The 23721-nt window shown below is 42.5% G+C and overlaps 1 protein-coding gene across 19 annotated transcripts in view, besides 4 other annotated features; it reads right to left on the bottom strand.

Annotated features, from left to right (window-relative positions):
- MCPH1 (microcephalin 1) overlaps positions 1–23721 on the bottom strand; it is a 241882-nt gene that overhangs the window by 217775 nt on the left and 386 nt on the right. For 17 of the 19 annotated variants that reach the window (NR_136159.2, NM_001322042.2, NM_024596.5 and 14 more), the window contains exons 2-3: positions 21364–21455; positions 15851–15969 (exon numbers count right to left, since the gene is read on the bottom strand). Coding sequence is in view for 18 of the 19 variants with exons in the window: in NM_001322042.2 (NP_001308971.2) it covers positions 15851–15969; positions 21364–21455 (211 nt within the window). In the remaining variant the exon portion in view is untranslated. Of the gene's footprint in view, positions 1–15850; positions 15970–21363; positions 21456–23423; positions 23582–23721 lie in introns of those variants that run through there. The other 2 variants (NM_001322045.2, NM_001322043.2) reach the window with 2 other exon arrangements.
- Positions 1792–2086: a silencer, noted in NCBI's record as "tiled region #14576; HepG2 Repressive non-DNase unmatched - State 23:Low, and K562 Repressive non-DNase unmatched - State 5:Enh". NCBI's record gives its function as "represses a minimal TATA promoter and a strong SV40 promoter by Sharpr-MPRA in HepG2 and K562 cells {active_cell/tissue: HepG2 | K562}" and the evidence as "EXISTENCE:reporter gene assay evidence [ECO:0000049][PMID:27701403]".
- Positions 1792–2175: a biological region, named in NCBI's record as "Sharpr-MPRA regulatory region 14576".
- Positions 2066–2175: an enhancer, noted in NCBI's record as "active region_26947". NCBI's record gives its function as "activates an Ori minimal core promoter by ATAC-STARR-seq in GM12878 lymphoblastoid cells {active_cell/tissue: GM12878}" and the evidence as "EXISTENCE:reporter gene assay evidence [ECO:0000049][PMID:35858748]".
- Positions 12574–12623: an enhancer, noted in NCBI's record as "active region_26946". NCBI's record gives its function as "activates an Ori minimal core promoter by ATAC-STARR-seq in GM12878 lymphoblastoid cells {active_cell/tissue: GM12878}" and the evidence as "EXISTENCE:reporter gene assay evidence [ECO:0000049][PMID:35858748]".

Here is a 23721-nt window from a genome sequence, read left to right as displayed (position 1 = left end):
CATCTGCTGTTTAAGTGTTTTTATAAGGCCTCTACTCACCTCTCCAACTATCCCTCACAGGCCTATCACCGTTCAACATCTAACACACGAACAGTTATTTGAAAAAATAAAGTACACTGCAATAAAAAACACATATCCATATTGATATAGAAATTTCTACAAAATATATTAGGAATAAAGGAAGTTTCAGAAATATGTGCCTCTGTACGGCACAGTATGGTCTATGCAATGTGGTAAGTGACACTAGGGTAGTGAATGTCATCCTGGCATCCCTGACCCCCTTCTGAGGGTGTGTAAAGTCAATACTATCTTTATAACAACACTAACGTGTGATTTTCCTTTCTCATCTCGCATTATCCCCTCAGTATACAATGCAGTGGAATTTTCCGAAGCAAAACGACATGTGCCACCCCAATACACTGAATGCAGAGGCAGATATGAGAAGGCAACTGTCTTCTATTAAGCCAGGCATCAGAGAAATCTGCAAAAATGTACAAATTTAAAAAAGAACACAGTGCAGTAATTGTAACAAGAGAAGTACAACCAGGCAGAAAAGCAGCAACAGGTTGCATAACGAGTATGGTTCAGAGAAAGCTTCAGGTCAGAGATGATCACCAGACTCAACTCTGACAAGGAGGCAGATGTGGGAGGACACAGATCTTCCATCTGGAAGCAGAGCATAGACTCAAGCACAGTGCAGCAAACAGGGTGACATTGTGGGGAAAACATACACCATTTGTATGACTGAGTGAATGAATGCAACTTAGGAGACTAGCAACAAAAAAAGAATTCATGTGATTCCAAGGGTTGTACTTTCTAAGCTAATGAGCTTGGACCCTGTCCTGTGGGTCTGGGGCATGGGGACAGGTGTGAGGGAGGGGTCGTGGGCAGATCACTGGTCCAGGAGGAGGAGGCCAGTCAGGGAATACTGCAATAACTGTGGCAGGAGACGCTAAAGATTCAGCAAAGGCAGTTGGGGACTAAGATGGGGAGGGGGAATCCTTAACTGAATAATATTTAGACAATAAAAATGGAAGGTTTTTGACCTCTGGTTAAATCTGGTGGACTTAGCACATGCTTTTCTCTTGACCCCCAAAACCCCAATAAAATGATAGTAAAGGAAAACAAAAAGACATAAACCAACAAAAATAAAGAGTAGATAAGAGCTGTCTGGGGAAATGAAATCAAACAAATAAAAAAAAAAAGGGAAACCCAAGCCTGGCAGCTGGGGCGGGGGAGGAGTCCATCTGGAGCTCAGAACCTGGAGCTCAGAACCCCTCAAGGGCAGGAGGCGCAGGTGAAGCCACAGCAGTCTGGGGTGGGGCAGGGGGCAAAGTGCAGAGGGCAGAGGGTGGAAGGCTGAAAAGAGGGAGCGACTCTCCTTCTCTCCTTGCCTGTGCCCACTCACTGCCACCCTGTGTCCAATGGGGGCACTGGGTCCATGTTCACATAAGTGGAGCCTGAGAAGCTCTGGACTCAAAGGACACCAGGCCAAGCTCAGGGAAAACAAAAAGTTTTCCATGAAAGGAAATATATTCATGGTTCACTCTGAGATTCAGCCTAACACACAACTTCCACATTCATAATGATGTAAACATAAACTACCGATTTAACCAAAATGTATCATGTACACTGCAATCAAGAGTGGAAAGAGCCTGCACATGAATGTGTCCATGCAAACAGCAGATGAGTGTATGTGGGAGTGAGGTGCACTCAGAGGGGCGGATTAAAAACGAAATTCTCACTTCCCTATCAGAAAGTCACTAGATAATACCTGAAACTGAAAAACCGAAACAGCAATACGGCCACAGTATTTAGAAATATGGAGGTCACCGAACAGCTTATCTGCAGAAGCAGCCACAAGTGTGAAAGGAGCTGCCTCTGGGGAACAGGAATTGAGGGTGAAAAGGGTCAAGAAAGAGACCATTGTTTTTCATGATAAGCCTTGTAATATTTAGTTCTTCTGTGTGTGTGTGTGTGTGTGTGTGCGTGCGCACGTGTCCATACAATGGAACATGATTCCACCATAAAAAGAAATGAAATTCTAATACAGATGACAACATACTGAACCTTGAAAACATTATGCTAAGAGAAAGAAGCCAGACATGAAGGCCGTATATCATATGATTCCGCTTATTGGAAATGTCCAGAAAAGGAAAATCCACAGAGAAAGAAAGTAGACTACTAGAGGCTGCCTTGGCTGGCGGGAGAATAGGGGATAGGGCTAAGGGGTGCAAGTTTCATTTTGAGGTGACGAAAATGTTTTTAAATTGTGGTGACGGTTGCACAACTCTGTGAATCCAGTTATATGCCGCATAACAACCTTTTGGTCAATGACAGACCACATACACAACAGTGATCACATAAGATTATAATGGAGCTGAAAAATTCCTATCGCCTAGCGACATACTGATGTTCCTAACCCTGTGTAGGCCCAGGCTAATGTGTGTCTTTGTGTCCTAGTTTTTTTTAAGTTTAAAAGTAAAAATTAAAATTAAAACATAGAAAAAGCTGATAAAGATATAAGGTATTTTTATACTGTTGTACAATGTATTTTAAGGCATTACAAAAGAGTAAAAAAATTTAAAAAATTACAAAGTTTATCATGTAAAAAAGCTATAGTAAGGCCAAATAAAAAAAAAATACAGTATAGGCGAGGCGTGGTGGCTCACACCTGTAATCTCAGCACTTTGGGAGGTTGAGGCGGGAGGTCAGTGGTTCAAGGCCATCCAGGCTAACATGGGGAAACCCCGTCTCTACTAAAAATGCAAAAATTAGCCGGGCGTGGTGGTGCGTGCCTGTAATTCCAGCTACTCAGGAGGCTGAGTCAGGAGAATCGCTTGAACCTGGGAGGCAGAGGTTGCAGTGAGCCGAGATCACGCCACTGCACTCCAGTCTGGGCGACAGAGCGACACTCCGTTTCAAAAAAAAAAAAAAACAGTATAATAACTACTTACGAAGTACTCGTATTAGGTATTATACATAACCTAGGTGTTTTTTTTCTTTTCCTCCCACCACAAGTAACAGAGAGATAGATTATTTACTTATGGGAGGAGCCGGGTGCAATAACTCCCATGTGTAATCCCAACATTTTGGGAGGCGGAGGTAGGAGGACTGTTTGAGGTCAGGAGTTGGAGACTAGTGGGGGCAACGTAGCAAGAATGCCGTCTCTACAAAAATAAAAATAAAAATAAATTACCCAGGCATAGTGGCACACGCCTGTAGTCCCAGCTCCTCAGGAAGCTGAGGCAGGAGGATTGCTTGAGCCTAGGAGGTTGAGGCTACAGTGAGCCATAAATGTGCCACTTCACTCCAGCCTGGGAGACAAAGCAAGACCTTGTCTTTAAAAAAACGTTATAGTATCAGTTAATACAGTTGCTCCAAAAAATATACATCCAGTGTAACCTAACTGTATGACGTGTATAAAGTCCATAGTACTGTATAGTAGTAATGTCCTAGGCCTTCACATTCGCTCACCACTCACTCAACGACTCAACCACAGCAACTTCCAGTCTAGCGAGCTCAATTCATAGTAAACGCCCTATGTAGGTGTACCATATTTTATCTTTTATACCATATTTTTACTCTACCTTTTCTATGTTTAAGTATTTCAGAGACACAAATACTTACCACTGTTTCACAACTGCACATGCTGTAGAGGTTTATGCCTAGGAGCAACAGGTTGTGCCACAGAGCCTAGGTGTGCAGTAGCTATGTCATGCAGGTGTGTGTTAATACACACTGTGATGTCTCCACAACAACAAAATCACCTATTCGTTTCTCAGAAGGCATCCCTGTCGTCAAGCAATACCTGACTGTATATTTAAAACCACTGAATTGTATACTTTAATTGGACAAATTGTGTAGCATATGAATTAGATCTTAAAACAATGTTGGGAAAAAAAAAACCATGAAATACCACTACACATCTGCTTGAATGGCTAAAATTCAAAAGATGGATAAATTTCAACTATTGGTGAAGACGTGGAGTGAAAGGAACACTGCTGGTGGGAATATACAGTGCCATAACCACCTTGGAAAAGTTTGGGTAATGACCCAAGAGAAATGAAAGCATACAAAGACACAAATGTAAATGTCCATTGTAACTTTATTCATAATAACCTAAAATGGCAAACTAGCCCAATCTCCATCAACTGGTGGCACCAAGCTACATGCCTACAATAGAATACTACTCAGCTATAAAAGGAAGTGAAACCACTGCTACAAACAACACGGACAGATCGCAAAAACATCACCTTCAGTGATGTCAGGCACAAAATAGTACACGCTGGATGATTCCACTGATCTGAAGCCCCAGAATTGGTGACACTAATCTTTAATGACAGAAACCAGATCTGTGGCTGCCCTGGGGTGGGAGGAGGGGGCAGGGAGGCCGACAGCAAATGGACACGAAGGAGATTTTGGGGTGATGAAAATGCTCTGTATTTTGGTTGTGGTGGTGACACAGGTATACACAAAAAACCCGTGAATGTACACTTAAAATGGGTCCATTTTATTTTATGTAAATGTTTTTATAAAGCTGATTTTAAAAAAACAAACCAACTATCTGAGCCTGCAATAATGGGGTGAGCAGAATGCTGTATCTAATAAAAGTGATGGGAAAGGGAGGCGGGTGGAAGAGAACGAGGAAGGAAATGTTTTTTAACTGTGCTTCTTTTTAAAAAGTCCCCTTAATTACCAATTTTAAGCATGAGAAGTTTTTAGCAGCTTCTTCTTACTCAAGCAAAATGTCACCGATTTACCACTATTATGCCTAAGGGAACAGCAAAAGGGGGGTGGCTGAGATGCATCTGGACGAAAGACGTAGAGGAGACCCTAGATAATCGTGTTATCAAATACACAGTATTAAAATCACCACCATCATCAGGACAAAGGTCACCCAGCTCATGAGAAGCCTCACACCAACCGTGCTGGAAAAGCCACTACCATTGCCTCCTATTGCACAACACAGAAAACCGAGGAGCAGAGAAGATCATTTGCCAAACTTTACAAAACCAGTAAGTATTCTTTAAGTTAGCAGTTTAAGGAAGGGCTTGATTCAACCCAGGAAAACGTGTGCCTGACATAGGTTATACAGTTGTGGAAGATGTGTTCTGTTCCTTTGGGAGAAGCTTCCCAACCACATATCCTTCAGAGTGATAAGATGTAAGGTGCACAGAGATGCTCTCCCTGAATTTCATCTACCTGGGTGTAACTATCATCACTCACTATGAAGAAGTAAGTGGCACTTACTGCTGGTAATGCCGTTCTGCATGCCAACAGCTATGCTTTAGCACACGTGGTAACACATTAAAGCTGCTACACTGAAACCCATGTTTACCAGGGGTCCAACCAAAATCTACTGAACAGACAAAAAAGCTTCCAGTTAGATTTCTATTTTTCTTCAGAAATGTAAAATGATAACATTATCCCACCATCTAGTGGTCAAAACGAAAAGTGTTTCAAGAGATGTCTCTAAACAGAGAACCAACTATTTGACCTGCTGCTGCCTCAGAGCCAACAGAAATCAAAGCAGCAACGTTCTCCTCGGGAAGCCGTGCTGTGATGAGCTTATTCTCCCCAGAGAGCCGATTCACTCCAGCACTTCCCACAGTACACCTGCTAGGTCGGCCAGGAACCACCGACTCTCATTCTACCCTTAGGACGATGCCTTCACCTGGGCCAATCCTGCATTCTTTATGCTACTCTTGTGCCAAACTGCCCAGCACCAGTATCTTATTCTCTAGGCCCAGTCAGTAAGTCAATTCAGGAAAAGTACATTAATCTTTTTTGTAAACGGCACTGTGTTAGTGAGGTAAAAAAGTGAATGGCATCTCCTTGAAGATTCCAGCCGCGAAGCACGCTATCCTTCACGTGTGTCCCTGACACACAAGGAAGAACACAGGAGACTCAGAGAAGTCTGCACAACAGTGCTCTGCCAGCAGAGAGCGAACTTCTGTGGTCTAGCACTAAATAACCGTAGGAAGTTAACTCAGGAGCTACTGGAGGAACCTAGAGCCCAGCAGTTGAGTAATTTGCCCAGTCCTAAATGGCTACACATCCACTGTTACACATTGATGTGATATTAGGAGGACACATCAGACCGTTCCAAACTGAGGGACGTTCCTATCACTGGTCAGTGACCTTAAACAGTGTCAAAGTCACAAAAGCCAGTGAAAGACTAAGGAATGGCTGCAGGGTGAGAAGGCTGAGGAGGCGGGAAGTGGAGCTGGCTGCTGGTAGGATAGGAATGGAGTCTGAGGATTCCGGGAGGAAAGGAGCCGTGGTAAGCCCCTAATGTCGGCCTGTGTTGTGGTTATGCAGGAATATGTCCCTGTTTCCAGCAAACACTAAATGCAGGGGGTGATGGCCTTCGGTCAGCAACCAACTCTCAGCCTAGCAAGGACAAAGCCTGTGAACCGTATTCCCCACCTAGCTGTTAGTTTGCAGTTGTTTAAAAATGATAAATTGTCTTCAACAGAACTTAGAGTGGGGGCCAAGCTGACCTTTATTTCAACTTTATGTATTCTTTCTTCAAGGTAAAAATTTCTACATCCAAAGGAAATGTCAGAATTTTATCAATTGCCATCTGATCTTAAAATGAACACTCCCAGAAGGAACCCAACAGAATGGGATTCTAGTGACACCTAGTGACCTTATGAAGTTAATGTTCACATTTTCAGTGGAAACCATGAGCTACTGCATTGGAAAGGCAGGCAGTTCACCAAGAAAGGACAGACGTGACATAAAAAATGCAGGTCAGTTTGGCTCTTATCTCTATGCTCTGCTGAAGAAAATTCAAGCTCACTAAAAGTCAGAGAAATGCAAATAAAAACTATTATTTTTCTTCTACAAATTAGAAAGAAGAACTGATAACTCACAACATTAGCAAAGGTATTGGGAAACATGCATTTTTTTGATAATTCCAGTGAGAATGGAAACCAGTACACTCCTTCCAGAAGATAATTTGGCAGCATCTATCATATTTAAATATGTAAACTCTCAGAAATGAACAGCCCACTTTGGGGATTTAAACCTATGGAAAGATTTATCACCCGCAAAAAGGTAATACATACAGAAGCTCAATGCTGTAATATTTCTAATTGAAAAAAATAACTAAGAAATGAAAAACTTCAATCACCAATAGGACACTGCTTACATAAATTACTGGACAGCTACTACAAAATATTCTTATATATATAAAGTGGGATGCATCTGCATGTACAGGCAAAAAAATGACCTGTAATAAAAAGTTGACTAAAGTGTATGGGCCGGGCGCAGGGGCTCATGCCAGTAATCCCAGCACTTTGGGAGGCCGAGGCGGGCGGATCACAAGATCAGGAGATGGAGACCATCCTGGCTAACACGGTGAAACCCCGTCTCTACTAAAAATACAAAAAAATTAGCCAGGCGTGGTGGCGGGCGCCTGTAGTCCCAGCTACTCAGGAGGCTGAGGCAGGAGAATGCAGTGAGCCAAGATTGCACCACTGCACTCCAGCCTGGGCGACAGAGCGAGACTCAGTTTCAAAAAAAAAAAAAAAAAGAAAAGAAAAGAAAAATGCCAAAAGATTAAGTTCACTTTTGAGCTTCTGAGGACCTTAAAAGTGTGCTTTTGCCAGGCACGGTGGCTCTTACCTGTAATCCTAGCACTTTGGGAGGCCAAGGTGGGCGGATCACCTGAGGTCAGGAGTTAAACCAGCCTGGCCAACATGGTGAAACCCTGTCTCTCCTAAAAATATAAAAATTGGCCGGGCACAGTGGCTCACGCCTGTAATCCTAGCACTTTGGGAGACCGAGGAGGGCGGATCACAAGGTCAGGAGATCGAGACCATCCTGGCTAACACAGTGAAACCCCGTCTCTACTAAAACCACAAAAAATTAGCCGGGCGTGGTGGCGGGCTCCGGTAGTCCCAGCTACTCGGGAGGCTGAGGCAGGAGAATGGCATGAACCCAGGAGGCGGAGGTTGCAGTAAGCCGAGATCGCACCACTGCACTCCAGCTTGGGCAAGAGAGTGAGACTCAGTCTCCAGAAAAGAAAAAGAAAACTTTGCTTTTGGATAACGAAGTTACAAGTATTATGGGGTCTGCATGAGCCCCTTGAGAAAGGCTGGGGTTAGTGGTGGGCAGAAATAGAGAGAGAGAGAAAGGGGATAGAGAATGAGTCAGGGGCTGGGCCAGCAAAGCAGAGTAAGAATCCCTAACTCTCAGCAGAACACACTACCAGTGACCATCCCCATTGTAGGGTTAGCTGAGAGGCCCTATTAGGTACAGAAATGGCTACTATTTTAATTTTGTCCATGCATCTCCATTTACTTCAAGCTTCTAGTAAAGGTCTCTGTTTCTGCACTCTCCCCTCCACATTTCTATACGACTTTTAAAATGTAGTTTTTTTTCAAATCATTTTCCCCCATGATATTTTCTCTAGTATCTCTACGCCACTTAACTAAATTTTCCTTTGTTCATAATTTGTTAGAACAAATATTTACTGAGCATCTACTATGAGCCAGATGAATGTTAGACTTACTAGAAACACAACCATAAATAAGACAGACAGGTAGCTGCTCTTGGAATCCACATTACAATAGAAAGACAAAATGCATGATTAGATACACAGACAGATAAAGCAGTCAAATGAACAAAATAAGTTTTAATAGTACACACAGGAAAAAAGGAGCTGAGACAGAGAATAACAAATAGGGCTTGAACTGTGAACTGGGGACAGAGGAAGCTCTTCTGATAAAGCGACCTTGCAATGCAACATGTATAAAGGAGCTGACTACAAAACTGGGTTTAGAATCAGGAAGACGGGGCAGAGTTCTCAGCACAGGCCAAGAACTAAAGGCAGAAAGAGTGTAGCCTTGGGGACGTGGAAGCCCAGAGCATTTGGAAGACGCAAACAAGGGAGAGGGGAGCAGCTGACAATGGAAGGGAAGGGGACCATCATGCAGCACACTGGACCTGGGTCAGCAAACTTCTGTAAAGGGGAAAGTAGTGAATGCCTTAGGCTTCGTGGGCCGTAAGGTCTCTGCCACAGGATCCAAATCTACAGCTGTAGTACAGAGGCAGCCACTGACTACATCGTCAGATGAACATGCCTGTGTTCCAATAAAACGGTATTTATGGATACTAAAATTGAATTTCATATAATGTAAATATCATGAAATAGTAAACATTTGAATTTTTTTTTTCTCTTAACCATTCTTACCTCATGGGCCATTAAAAAAAAATAAACAGTATGGCAGGGTGGATTTGGCTGGGGGATGATAGTTGGCCATTCTCTGCTATAGACCACTGAACTCTAAGCCATTTTGTCAGAAGGATAAAGCTGATCCATGTGTTGAAGTATTACAGGTAGTTAGGCATAAGCCCGGCAGGAGAGGCCTCTACCACCCACTAGGAATGTTGGGTGATAGCTCAACAATTATCACATTGCCTCTCTAAAAGTGATAAATTGGCAGCCAGAGCCAGGGAGAGGCCATTTCCTGACAGTCCACACCTGTTGTGCTAAAGTGTTAACTGAATGCAGACGCCAGGGAGAGGCCATTTCCCGGGCATGCACATTAAGAGACAAAATGGCGGAGAAACGGGAAGAAAGCTTCAGATGGGCACCCACACAACTTCCTAAACAAGCTGCCTGTGCTCAATTCCCGCACTGTGCATGCGGGCAGCCCACCCTAAGGGAAGAACTGCGGAAAAGGGCGAGCCTACAAATCCCAGGATCAAGGTTAAACATCAAATTAGACCTCCATGCCCGCCTGGGACTCTTCCCAGTGTACTTTCCTTTCTTTCTGTTCTGACGCCTTTTAAATAAACTTCTGCTCCTGCTCTGACCCTTGCGTCAGTCTCTTCTTTTGCCTTATGCTCCTCCGTGGAATTCTTTCTTTTGAGGAAGCAAGAACTGAAGTTGCTGCAAACCCATACGTGTTTGCTGCCGGTAACTTGGATACCTTCCACTGGTAACAAAAGGGGTTACATTTGCTTATGTATAAGAAACAAAATGAAACAGACAGGCATGAGGCTGCTACAGTAACTGAAGCAAGACATGATACTTGTCTCGACTGTAACAGCAGAGATAAAGATCTATGAGAGATCGATTTTGAGATAAAAATCAATAAGCCATTTCAATGGACTCCATAAGAAGATGAGGTAGAGAAAACAATGATGGCTGGCTGATACTGAGTCTTACCCCATTCCCTCCCCGAAAAAAAAGCAGAAAATAAAAAAGAAACTTAAATAAAAGACACATATGACCTACATTCTCACTGACACGGAGATAACAGCGCAAATTCAGATGACCTATAAGTAGAAAAATAATCAAATTCCAACACAGCTGCAAGTCTATGGATGCAGAAAGTCGGGGAGAATACGCTTAAGACTCCATAAAAAGTAGTACAGCCTGGAGAACTTACATGAAGCACAGGTAAAAGAAGTCTCAGAAAGAGGACACCCAGCACAACTGCCACAACAGAGAACCCACACAGCTCACAGCACCCACTCCAGGGAAGGGGTCTGAATGGGAGCAAGACTAGGACAGGCAGGCTCTGAAAAACATCAGTTCTGGGGGGAGTGGCAGCCCTTGAACCAATGGCAGTGAAAAAAAGAAGAAACTAAGAGAAAAACATTTAAGGATCCTATAGAAACAAAACGCAAACGAGATACACGAGCCCCTCCCTCCTCCCTCCCTCACCAGCATCACCTATAAAAGAAACTATGCAAGACAGCAGAACTGACAGAAGAGGACGCTCTGGCCACAAGCCTGGCCTATGCAATGAATGGAAATAGAATAGACTACATCCATTTTAAAAATCTATTTTAAAAAAACAAAGAAAAAGCAAATCATTTCAGCTGAGGAAAACCCATCACACTCCCTAAAATAAAAGCAAACACAAAACTGAAGAATATAACAAAACCCTTGAACTTGAATCAAATATTATCAGCTGGGTGCAGTGGCTCACACCAGTAATCCCAGCACTTTGAGAGGCTGGAGTGAGTGGATCACTTGAGCCCAGCCTGGCCTACATAGTAAGATCCCATCTCTATAAAAAAAATTCTTTAATGCCGGGTTGCACTTTGGGAGGCCAAGGCAGGTGGATCACAAGGTCAGGAGATCAAGACCATCCTGGCTAACACGGTAAAATCCCATCTCTACTAAAAATACAAAAAAAAAAAAAAAATTAGCCAGGTGTGGTGGTGGGCGCCTGTAGTCCCAGCTACTCGGGAGGCTGAGGCAGGAGAATGGCATGAACCTGGGAGGCAGAGCTTACAGTGAGCCGAGATTGCGCCACTGCACTAGGCCACAGAGCAAGACTCCATCTCAAAAAGAAAAAAGAAAAAAAAAATTTTTTAATGGCTGGGCATGGTGGCACATGCCTACAGTCCCAGCCACTAGGGAGGGCTGGGGTGAGAGGACTGATTGAGCCTTAGAGGTCAAGGCTGCAGTAAGCTGCAACTGAGTCATTGCATTCCAGCCTCGGCAACAGAGCAAGACCCTGTCTTCAAAAAACAAAAACAAATACTGTCAAATAAGTATTTGGGGTAAAAATGCGTGTGTGTGTGTGTGTGTGTGTGTGTGTGTGTGTGTCTGTGTGTGTGTGTGTGTGTGTGTATGTGTATATAAATATAAAAGGGTTGAAGTCAAGTTGACTGAAATAAAAGATAGCTAAGCAGGCCCAACGTAAACATAATTGGAGTCCCAGAAGAAAAGCAAAACAACGAAGCAGAATATTTAAAACTATAATCCCAGAAACTTTTGCAGAAATATAGACCTGAATCTGTTGAAAAGGCCAAGCCAGAACTGGAATGATCAATTCAAAACATATTACAGTAAAGCCATGAGTCTTAAAAAAAAAATCCTGGCCGGGCGCTGTGGCTCACGCCTACAATCCCAGTACTTTGGGAGGCTGAGGCAGGCAGATCACGAGGTCAGAAGATCAGGATCATCCTGGCCAACATGGTGAAACCCCGTGTCCACTAAAAATACAAAAATTAGCTGGGCGTGGTGGCACGTGCCTGTGATCCCAGCTACTCGGGAGGCTGAGGCAGGAGAATCGCTGAACCAGGGAGTAGGAGGTTGCAGTGAGCACAGATCGCGCCACTGCACTCCAGCCTGGCGACAGAGCGAGACTCCGTCTCAAAAAAAAAATGATAAAATAAAAAATATCCCTAAGGAGTCTCCAAAAAGATCAAATAATGTTGAAGGGAAGAAGAATTAGACTGGCATCAGATGCTTCAAAAATAACATACTAAGTTCCATTTCTGTTTATGCCTAACAAACCAATATACAAATATAGGTGAACTATAAGCTATACGTCCTGGAAATACAGGAAAAATAAAATAAAATAAACCAACTATGTGAGAGCTTTGAAAGCTGGAGGGAAATAAAAGAAAAAGAAAGAACAGGCAAATTTTAAAAGGAAGCAAAAGAATCTGGGCATCACCACTTTTTCTGTCTGTCCCCTAAAGGCAGCCACAGTCTCTGAGGGAGCTGGTGTGGCGCAGCAAGCACTCAAGCAGAAGCTCCGGCCTCCTTTCTCGCTGAAGAGACCAGGGGAAGGAGACTGGGCAGCTAGGGCTACTAGAGAAATGAGGTAAGGACTCAGGAAGTAAGAGAACCATAGGAGAAACCCCAAATTCTGAGTATAGAAGTTCAAGTCTCTGGCTGACCCCTGAACAACATGTGTTTGAGGCAAACAAATCAGCCTGCACCTGAGGCTTAAAGGGCGCATCTAAGCAACTGCCCACATAATGACAGTGTGCGTTTCATTTTAACGACAAGTTAACTGCTTGCTAAAACAAAAACCTCATGCTCTTTGCGACAATAGAAAAGAATCCAGAGTCTACATAGTATTTACAACGTGCAAAATACAACCTCAAATTATTTGCCATATGAAGAGCCAGAAAAATGTGACACACTATCAAAGAAAAACAAAAACAAAACAGATACCAACCTCAAAATTATCAGACAAGGTCATTAAGACAACTATTTATAACTACACTCATCGAGGTAATAGAAAATACACTCATAACCGAAGACAGGAAAACCAAAGGTGAGAAATCTCACATGAAACCGAAATAAAAAGAATGTATACAAAAACCAACTAGAAATGTTAGAAATCAAAAATATCTCAAATAAAGGTACTAAGTAGCAGAATGGATTTGATGGAGAAAAAAGTCAATGAACTTGAAAAAAGATCAATCTGAGGAGAAAAAAAAAGACTGAACAATAATGAAGAAGAAGGAGAGCACTATGGACAAATGCAAACGTTTAAAAGGTGTATTACACAGAAAGGATTGGGAAACTACCTGGCTTCCTGCCAGACTTATAAGTAAAGTTTGCTGCCACACAGACACAAGCATTTGTTTACTTATTTTCTATTACGCCTTTCACACCACAAGAGAGCTGAGCTGTTGAGCAGAGACCATATGGCCCGCAAAGCCTAAAATATTGACTATCTGTCCCTTTACAGAAAACTTTACCAATCCCTGGTATACAGCTAATTAGAAAAAGATATACAGCTAATCAGAAAAAATGAGGAGGAAACGGGGCAGAAAAGATAGATGAAGAAATAATGGCCAAAAACGAATCATATGTAGAAACACAGGCAACTACACATTCAACAAGTTCTGTAAAATCTAAACAAAATAAATTTTAAAAAACCATATCGAGACACTTAAATTTCTGAAAGTGAAAGATAATGAGAAAATCTTGACAAAAGCCAGAGAAGGACCCCTTACTCTTTTTTTTTTTTCCCCGCTCTTGTCGCCCAGGCTAAAGTGCAATGGCGTGGTCTTGGTTCACTGCAACCTCCGTCTCCCAGGTTCAAGTGATTCTCCTGTCTCAATCTCCCGAGTAGCTGGGACTATAGGCACACGCCAACATGACTGGCTAATTTTTGTATTTTTAATAGAGATAGGGTTTTACCATATTGATCAGGCTGGTCTCAAACTCCTAATCTCAGGTGATCCACCCCCCTCGGCCTCCCAAAGTGCTGGAATTACAGGTGTGAGCCACCGCATCCGGCCTGTTCCAACAATTAAAAAGGCAAGATGACAACGTATACAACATGACCAAGTAGGATTTATCCTAGGACTGCAAGGTTGCTTCAACACACAAAACCCCTCAATTACACCACATTAATATAATGAAGGACAAAAATCACATGATGATCAGTCATGCAGAAAAACATCTGACAACCATATCTAACTTCCTTTAATAATCAGAAACAAACAAACAACCTGCAACAGAAGGGAATGGGAACGTCCTCAGCCTAAAAAAGGACATTTACACAAACCACAGTTACCATCATACGAAATAATGAAATACTGAAAGCTTTTCTCCAAAGATGAGCAACAACACAAGGACGTCCATTCTCACCACTTCTATTCAACAGTGTGCTGGAGGTTCTGGCCAGAACAAATAACATGACATGACATGACATGACATGACATGACATGACATAACATGCGGCCAGACTAGAAATGAAGAAGTAAATCTATCTCTATTTACAAAATTACACAACATTGCATATAGAAAATGCTAAGGAACCCACAAATATATTTAGAACTAATAAACAAGTTAAGCAAATTTGCAGGGTATAAGATCAACATACAACAATCACCTGCATTTCTATACACTAACAGCTAACAACTTAAAAAAATTAAGAAAACAATTTCATTCACATGAAAATGAACAAAAAAGTTAGGAATAAATTTAACCTAGGGGGTAAAAAACTTGTACACTGAAAACTAGAAAGTGTCACTGAAGGAAATTTGAGACCTGAAAAAGAAACACATCCCATTTTCATGGACTGAAAGATTAAATATTATGAACACTTCCCTAATTAGAGATTCAATACAATCCTACCAAATCCCAGCTGCCTTTTTTGTTTTTGAATAAATTGACACACTGATCATAAAATTCATATAGAAATGCAAGGAACCCAATCAAGACAGCCAAACAATCTTAGCAAGGAACTCAAATCAAAATAGCCAAACAATCTTGAAAATGAAAAACAAGTTACAGGACTCGTACTTCCCAATTTCAAAACTTACTACAAATTTACTGTAATCAAAACTGTGTGGGCCGCGCACGGTGGCTCACACCTGTAATCCTAGCACTTTGGGAGGCCGAGGCAGGTGGATCACCTGAGGTCAGAAGTTTGAAACCAGCCTGGCCAACATGATAAAACCCCGTCTCTACCAAAAATGCAAAAATTAGCCAGGCATGGTGGTGCGTGCCTGTAATCCCAGCTACTCGGGAGGCAGAAGCAGGAGAATCACTTGAGCCCAGGAGGCAAAGGTTGAGATGAATCCCAGCTACTTGGGAGGCTGAGGCATAAGAATCACTTGAGCCTAGGAGGCTGAGGCTGCAGTGACCCAAGATCCAGCTACTGCACTCTAGCTTGGATGACAGAGCAAGACTTTGTCTCAAAAAAAAAAGAAGATACCAACCCTGTTGACAACTTGATACTGGACTTCCTGCCTCCAGAGTTGTGAGAAAGTCCTTTTCTGTTGCTCAAGCGACCCATTCTGTGGTCCTTTGTTACAGCAGCGCTTGCTGACTAACACAATCTGCTTCATCACATTCCCTCTTGCTTCCTAAGTCCACCTTGCATACCCAGCTTCAGGACCTGCAGGCTCCTTTTCCCCCTAGGCAGAGTTAGGTATTATAGCATGACCATTTTTGAACCACAGAAATTGAGGCTGGAGGATTTCAAATTACTAGGTGAGGTAAGAGGCAGAGAAAAGATGAAAATCAAACTTTATCTGGTTCTGCGATCTGTGAAAAATATCTCCACACATTTTCAATACTAGATACTTAAGGAAAAAAAGTAAGAGAGAAACTGCTTACTTTTCCACCCAGAGCACCGAAACGAGCTTTACGCCTCTCTTCTGAGCTTTGTCCCAAGTGCTCTGGTAGCCATCTTTGAAGATAACGTGAGTTACTTGTTTGTTAAAAGTTTTTGAAACCTGTAGACAAAATGCAGAAAACAAAATGTACATTACTGTTCATTCACAACTTAACTACAACTGATCAAAAAACCTCTACCCCAGCAATTCTGTTTCTCAACATCTGACAGAGAAACACTCAAAGGAATGCATAACGCTGCTTAAAACATATCTGTTCCAGTTACAACGGTGAATCATACACACAAGTTCACATCTACTCCCTCTAAAAACCCTCTGAAGTGTTACTGAAAGAATAGAGTTGGAGCCCTGCAAGGATAAAGAGGACAGAAGAGAAAATGTGGCCATGAGAAGGCACCACATTTTTAAAGATGGAAAGAGTCAGATAATAATGGACATTTCAGAAAAGCTTTCTACATCAAAAAAATAAAACCAAATGAAATTCAGAGGCAACAGAGAAAACAGAACACATATTTAACCAAAATTAAAAATACCTCATATCTTAAGATACTGTATCCATGGCTGGGCATGGTGGCTCATGCCTGTAATCCCAGCACTTTGGGAGGCCGAGGCAGGTGGATCACCTGAGGTCAGCAGTTTGAGACCAGCCTAGCCAACCTGGTGAAACCTTGTCTCTACTAAAAATACAAAAATTATCCGGGTGCAAGGTGGCGGACGCCTGTAATCTTAAATGCATAAATACAAAGTAAGAAGGTTGAAAATAAGTGCAATCATTCAAAAAGTTGGAAAAATTCAGCTAATTAAAACCAAAGGAAACTGGGTGTGGTGGTTCACACCTGTAATCCCAGAACTTTGGGAGGCCGAGGCAGGTGGATCATGAGGTCAGAAATTTAAGACTAGCCTGGCCAACATGGAAAAACCCTGTCTCTACTAAAAATACAAAAATTAGCCAAGCGTGGAGGTTCGTGCCTGTAGTCTCAGCAACTCGGGAGGCTGAGGCAGGAGAATCACTTCAACCCGGGAGGTGGCGGTTACAGTGAGCCAAGATTGTGCCATTGCACTCCAGCCTGGGTAACACAGCAAGACTCCATCTCCAAAAAAAAAAAAAAAAAAGATACTGTATTCACGCAACATGATCAGAAGATTATTTTTTAATAGGATCCTAAAGAGCTCTTGGAAATTAAGAAAAGATGACATAAGTAAAAAAATTTTCTACAGAAATATCAGACAATGAAGTTGAGTAAAGCTCACTGGTAGTAGAAGAGAAGAACCAGAAGACGGACAACAGGAGACAAAAGGCAAGAACATCAGAAGCTCAGACCAGGAGATCCAACAGCCAATCAACAGAAGTTAAAGAATACAGGAATACACAAAATGGAGAAAATATTATTAAAGAAATAATCAAAGAAAAGTTTCTCAAACTAAAGGATATGCATTCTAGATCAAAAGAATCCCCCACAAAGGCCCAGCACAAGAACGAAAACAGCACTACACCAAGCTTATCACAGAATTCCAGCATGGTTGGCGAAAGGGAAAAATATTAAAAGAGTGGGTAATCAAGGTGAAGAGGATAGAGACACATCACATGCAAACAATAAGTGACAACTGAATCAGTCTTATCAACAGCAGTCTGGAATTGAGAAAACAATGGGAAATACCTTCAAGGAAAAATAATATTTGTGCTAGCATTTTACACTCAGCTAAAATATTAGTCAAAGGTAACAGTATAATAAAGGCATGCTCAGACACTCATGGTGTCAAAAATTTTACCTTTTATGTATCCTTTCCAGAAGCAGAACTCATCTGCATAATTTTTATAGCATTCAATTATACTGAAGTAATATATGTACAATGCTTGGAAATATGAAGGTAAATACCAAAAGAAACAGATGATTTGAAAGTAGCTGTCTTTGAAAAATGGAAAAGGAAATGTACTGCAAAGCGTTGCTGGTTTCTCTTTCTTTTCATTGTGAATTTCATGGCACTGCCCGTTAGTCTTTTTAAACAATAAATATGTATTACTTTTATAACTCTCTCTCTCTCTCAATTTCCACACCCCCATCAAGTCCATGGGAGCTATCAAGGCAATTAAGAATTACCGGGCTGAGATTCTAGATTAAGACTGACACCTAGAGAGATGAGTCTAGCATTTGAGACCATCTTCCCACAAGGCTTTTATCAAATTTAGTACACACTAAACAGGACGAAAATTGAGAAGCCTCAAAGAGACAAGGGGGTCTGGTAAAACCCCTACACCTTGCGCTGAGACCCAAAGAGCTGCATCTAGATTAAGGGTGAATCAGAAGTTATAATGACCCTCACAGGCCTGTAGTCTGGTTTTAAATCATCTCAAATCCTGAAATTGGCTTAAGATAATCCCGGATTACGAGTACTACAAATATCCAAATCTTACGATGTTAACGACTATTGATCTGTATTCACTATTCTTTGAACTGTTTGCCAATTTTTGAAATAAAAGGTGAAACCAAAAAGTTCTAAAAGATCTAAGATCTTAATGCTACCCTCAAACCACCTTGTCAACTCACTTGTCTAACGGCTTTTTTCTTATTCACAGTAGTTCCTCCTCATCCCAAGTAAATGTTAGGCATGTGCAACATGCAGACTCCCTCGGGTTCCTACATTCCAGTGTATTACAGTGGGCATGTCTCCCCTCCTGCAGTGCAGGCCCTGCTCCTATATTCGGATTCCTCTCCACTGACCTCTTACTCAAGACAGGCATTAGGGAGGTCAAACAAGGCTCTTAGGGTATTCAGTAGCACCCACTCTTTGCCTGGTGGTGAGCGCCTCTTAAGTTTTATACCCACAGCAGCTCTCTTGCTCCACCCTAACCTAGCCCTGCCTTCGATTATCTTTTCTCCCATTTTTAATGGTTCTCTTTCACTCAGCCTATCAGTCAGCCCCTCCCAAATGCCAGACAAGGACATAAACAGGATTTGTTCATAACTAAACTCCCTATAAGAGCACATTAGTTCCCCCTTATCCACGGGGGTTAAGTTCTAAGACATGCCCGCGTCCCGCCCCCAACCCCTCCCAGTGGATGCCTGAATCCTGAGCTAGTACTGAACAGGTTATATACTGTTTTTTCCTATACATACATATACAATGAAGTTTTATTTACAAATTAGGCACAGATTAACAATAATGATAACAAAATAGGGTAATTGTAGCAATGTATTATAATAAAAATCACGCACTGTGGCTGTAACTGTTGCAGTTTGGTGTGACTGCAACAGTAGCATAGTTCTTCACAATTTCAAGATTAGAAGATTTGTTCTCACTGTCGATCTTAGCAACTTCAACACACAATTTTCTTCCTTTCCTTAAAGTGGAGAACTTTCACCTTTTCACTTAAAGCACCTTAAGGCTTCTCTGGCATATCTGAATTGCCAGCATCATCACTCTTGCACTTTACGGCTGAAAATTAGTTCTGCCAAATTTAACCTGCCTTGCTTGCTTTTGGTCACTTGCTTTTTGTTATTTATTTATTTATTTCTATATAGCTGCAAGTCATACTACTAAATGCTATAACCTTCACTGGCTTCCTTATAAGATAAAAACTTCTGGTGGATATGTCACCACGGTAACAGTTGCTTAAGTTACTTTTCAGGAACTTGGGGCAGCACCCGTACAGTTCAAACAGGCTGCAACCACCAACTCTTCAACCAGGCCTGTGTAAATGCCCAAGAAATGACCTTTTGACATCAGGCCAAAATCTTCACCATCGGATCCTACTAGTGCCTATTTTTTTGGTTTTTGGAGACAGAATCTTACTCCGTCGCCCAGGCTGGAGTGCAGTGGTGCAATCTCGGCTCAATGCAACCTCCGCCTCCCAGGTTCAAACGATTCTCCTGCCTCAGCCTCCCGAATCACTGAGACTACAGGTGTGTGCCACCACACCTGGCTTTTTTTTGTATTTTTAGTAGAGATGGGGTTTCACTATGTTGGCCAGGCTGGTCTCGAACTCCTGACCTCAGGTGATCCGCCTGCCTTGGCCTCCTAATAATGCCTGTTTTCTAAACATGCATTCCATGAATCCCAACTATGCTTGTGCAGATCATGTACTTCATTTTTCCCCACAGCTTAGATCACCCTACTTCCCTAACTGATAAATATCCCTAAGCCTTATCTTTGGGAATGAAGATGTGAGTACTCTTCTGCCTCCTAGCTGGGCTTCCCCGTGAATGAATCTTTTCCCTTTTGTAAAACCCGTCATCAAAGTGATCGGTTTAGTGTGCGTGGGCAAAAGATACCTATTTGGTATCAAGGACATTATTAAGTCAAATAGAGGCTACCTGAACACAAGCAGTACGTGATAGTAAATCTGATAACAGAGATGGCTATACTAAGAAACCTTGAATAAGGCAAATTGTTTGCTATCTCCATTTCCTCATAGCTCAATGATTCCTGCCCATTTCACTGAAAACTGCACTAAGTTCAGCAATGACCTTACAGTGTTCAAATCCAAAGTACATTTGCCCATCCTATTTTTCTTGAACTTTCTGTAGTTTTTAAAAATTCTATCTTTAAAATTACTCCATTCTAGTTCTGAAAGGCAATTAAAAAATTACTCCTGGCCGGGCTCGGTGGCTCATGCCTGTAATCCCAGCACTTTGGGAGGCCGAGGTGGGCGGATCACGAGATCAGGAGATTGAGACCATCCTGGCCAACATGGTGAAACCCCGTCTTTACTAAAAATACAAAAAAAAAAATTAGCTAGGCATGGTGGCATGTGCCTGTAGTCCCAGATACTTGGAAGGCTGAGGCAGGACAATCGCTTGAACCCAGAAGGCAGAGATTGCAGTGAGCTGAGATCGCGTCACTGCACTCCAGCCTAGCGACAGAGCGAGACTCCGTCTCAAAAAAAAAAAATTACTCCCTACTTTGACTTCCACACTTCCTTTCTCCTTCTCCTGGCATTCTTCTCTCCCTCTGTCACTGGGTCCCTGCTCCCATCGCCTGTCCTTGAATACTGAACAACGCTCCTCTGTCACCACTCTTCATCCTAACCATGCCTGACATGGGACGATGTCCACACCTGTGACTTCACATGACCCCTATGGTCCTGACCCCCTAGATCATCATCTCTAGCCTTGAACACTCCAAGCTCCAGACTTGTATATCCAAATATCTAACAGATATTTTTCAGTATGCCCAAATTTACAATTTTTCCCTTAGAAACCTGTTCCTTTTCCTGTATTCCTCACTTTGCTTAATAGCACTATGCATTCAAGTAACCAGTGTAAGAATCCAGCATTTCATCCTAGGTTCCTCCTCCTCACTCAATGCCCACAGGCATTGAGTTCTGAAAGTCCTACTGTTCTAAATTCTTCACACTTTGGCTCTTTTTTCTCCCACCGCTTACCCATTGCTTCGTCCAGATTCTAAGTAAAAACTCCCAAAATAAGAAAATGCAAATGTAACTTTTTACCAATCAGAAGACTGTCATATGAATCAACAGCAAAATAAGTGTCTTACCTTTGCCCCCATATCCACAAGCTGTGTTGTAAATGTCTTTGAATAATTTTCTGTTCCATTGGATGACCACACTTCAACATAGGCCACTACATCTGAAAACAAGATATGAACATGAAACATACATTTGAAATTCCAGCATCCCCTGCCCAATAGATTTTGTTCTATTTACATTTAAGAGTAAACCGAGGCCGGCACAGTGGCTCACGCCTGTAATCCCAGCACTGTGGGAGGCGGAAGTGGGTGGATCCACGAAGTCAGGGGTTTGAGACCAGCCGGGCCAACATGGTGAAAAACCATCTCTACTAAAAGATACAAAAAATTAGCCGAGCATGGTGGCGGGCACCTGTAATCCCAGCTACTGGGAGGCTGAGGCAGGAGAATCACTTGAACCCGGGAGGCAGAGGTTGCAGTGAGCCGAGATTGCGCCATTGCACTCCAGCCTGGGTGACAGGGCGAGACCCGTTTCAAAAAAAAAAAAAGAAAAAAGTAAAACAAAAATTTACTCTACTGGCCAGGTGTGGTGGCTCATGCTGTAATTGCAGCACTCTGGAAGGCCAAGGCAGTGGGATCACTTGGGCACAGAAGTTTGAGACCAGCCTGGGCAACATAGTGAAACCCTGTCTCTAAAAAAAATTTTGTTTTTAATTAGCCAGGAATGGTGGCGAGTGGCTGTAGTCCCAGCTACTGGGTGGGAAATGGGGGTGGGTAGGGTGGAGAAGCTGAGGTGGGAGAATCCCTAGAGCCCAGGAGGTAGAAGCTGAGTTATGATCGCACCATTGCACTCCAGCCTGGGCAGCAGAGAAAGACCTTGCCTCAAAAATAAGAAAAGTAAATGAAGTTTCTTCTACTGGCTGAACAAAGTAGCTCATGCCTGTAATCCCAGCATTTTGCAAGGTGGAGGCGGGAGGATTGCTTGAGGCTAGGAATTCAAGACCAGCCTAGGCAACATAGTGAGACCCTGGCTCTACAAAAAAATAATAAATTAAAAAATAAAAATAAAAATAACCGGGCGTGGTAGTGCCTGTAGTCCCAAGTTACTCAGGAGGCTGAAGCAGAATTGCTTGAGCTATTATGTGATCACATCACTGCGCTCCAGCCTGGGCAAGAGAGTAAGACTCTGTCTCATAAATAAATTTCTACTGAAAGCCTTTTCAAAATAGCTTCAGTGGAATTTATTAAAATTTTAAGCAAAGAACAACTGTACCCATACAATACATGAGAGTTTACATTTGTAAAATTAGTTGCTTTCCCCAAATTCTTACGCTTAATTTTTCCAGTGCAGAAACCTATTTTCTGTAAAGAGACAGATGGTAAATATTTCAGGCTTTGTGGCCAATACAGTATTTGCCACAACTACTCAACTTCACGGTTGTGGCACAAACATAACCATAGGTAATATATTAACGGGCCGGCCTGTGTTCCAATAAAACTTTATTTATGGAGAAGGAAATGTGAATGTGATATAATTTTTCATTTGACCTTTTTTTAAAATCACTTAAAAATGTAAAAGACATTCTTAGCTCGTAGACCCTTACAAAAACAGGCAGCAGGCTAGATATGGCCTGGGGGGCATAGTGAGTGGACCCCTGTTCTAGTGGATATCCTCTTCTCAAAACCTGATGTTTAAAAGCATTTTCCAGGTGTGCCGTTGGTCAATGATTGGGGGTAACGCTAAAAGAAAACCAGGTTAATTTAACAAAATACTAACATTAGAAAAATAGCCACATCTGATTACAGACTTTGTATAAAGCCTCTAGTCTTTACTTTTGGCTATGAGGTTTTATGACTCCAGGCCCCACAATACAGGCCCCTTTTTTCTCACGGTCAAACTCTACAAGACACGTGTCCGCTATTCCCCTCTCCTGGGCTCTTCCAGGTGCACAGAGGGTGGGACTGCGTGCGGTATCATATACTGGTTAGGACAGCAGCTCCGGTCTAAGGCCCTGTCAGCACTGACTAGCCACACACAGGGAGAGTCACCTAAACGTCCGATGCCTTAGTTTCTGCCTGTAAAATGATATAAGAGAGTTGATAGAGCGGTTAAAAAAATCAGACAATACCATACTAGCCTAAGCACAGCGCCTGGCACACAAAGACTCCGCAGTAAAAGGCGGCTCCTATTATTGGAACAATTAGCATAGAAACTCAACTGCCGCTCCTCCAGGTGGGCCTCAGAGGGGGTCGAACAGGACCAGACCCAGGAGGGCCCCACACCAACTTCCGGAGGGCAGGACTCTGCCTGCCAGTGAGCCCCAGATCCAGGGACTAAGGCAGCAGGGGTGAAAGCAGGTAGGGGGAAAGGCGGGATTTGGGGGACAGGCAGCATGGGGGAGGGAGCAGGCAGCGGGGGATTGAGGG

The sequence above is a fragment of the Homo sapiens genome, chromosome 8 (genome assembly GCF_000001405.40).
Source record: "Homo sapiens chromosome 8, GRCh38.p14 Primary Assembly".
Taxonomy (NCBI): Eukaryota; Metazoa; Chordata; class Mammalia; order Primates; family Hominidae; genus Homo; species Homo sapiens.
The sequence above is the reverse complement of the archived record's forward strand: the minus strand, read 5'-3'. Positions and strand labels throughout refer to the sequence as shown.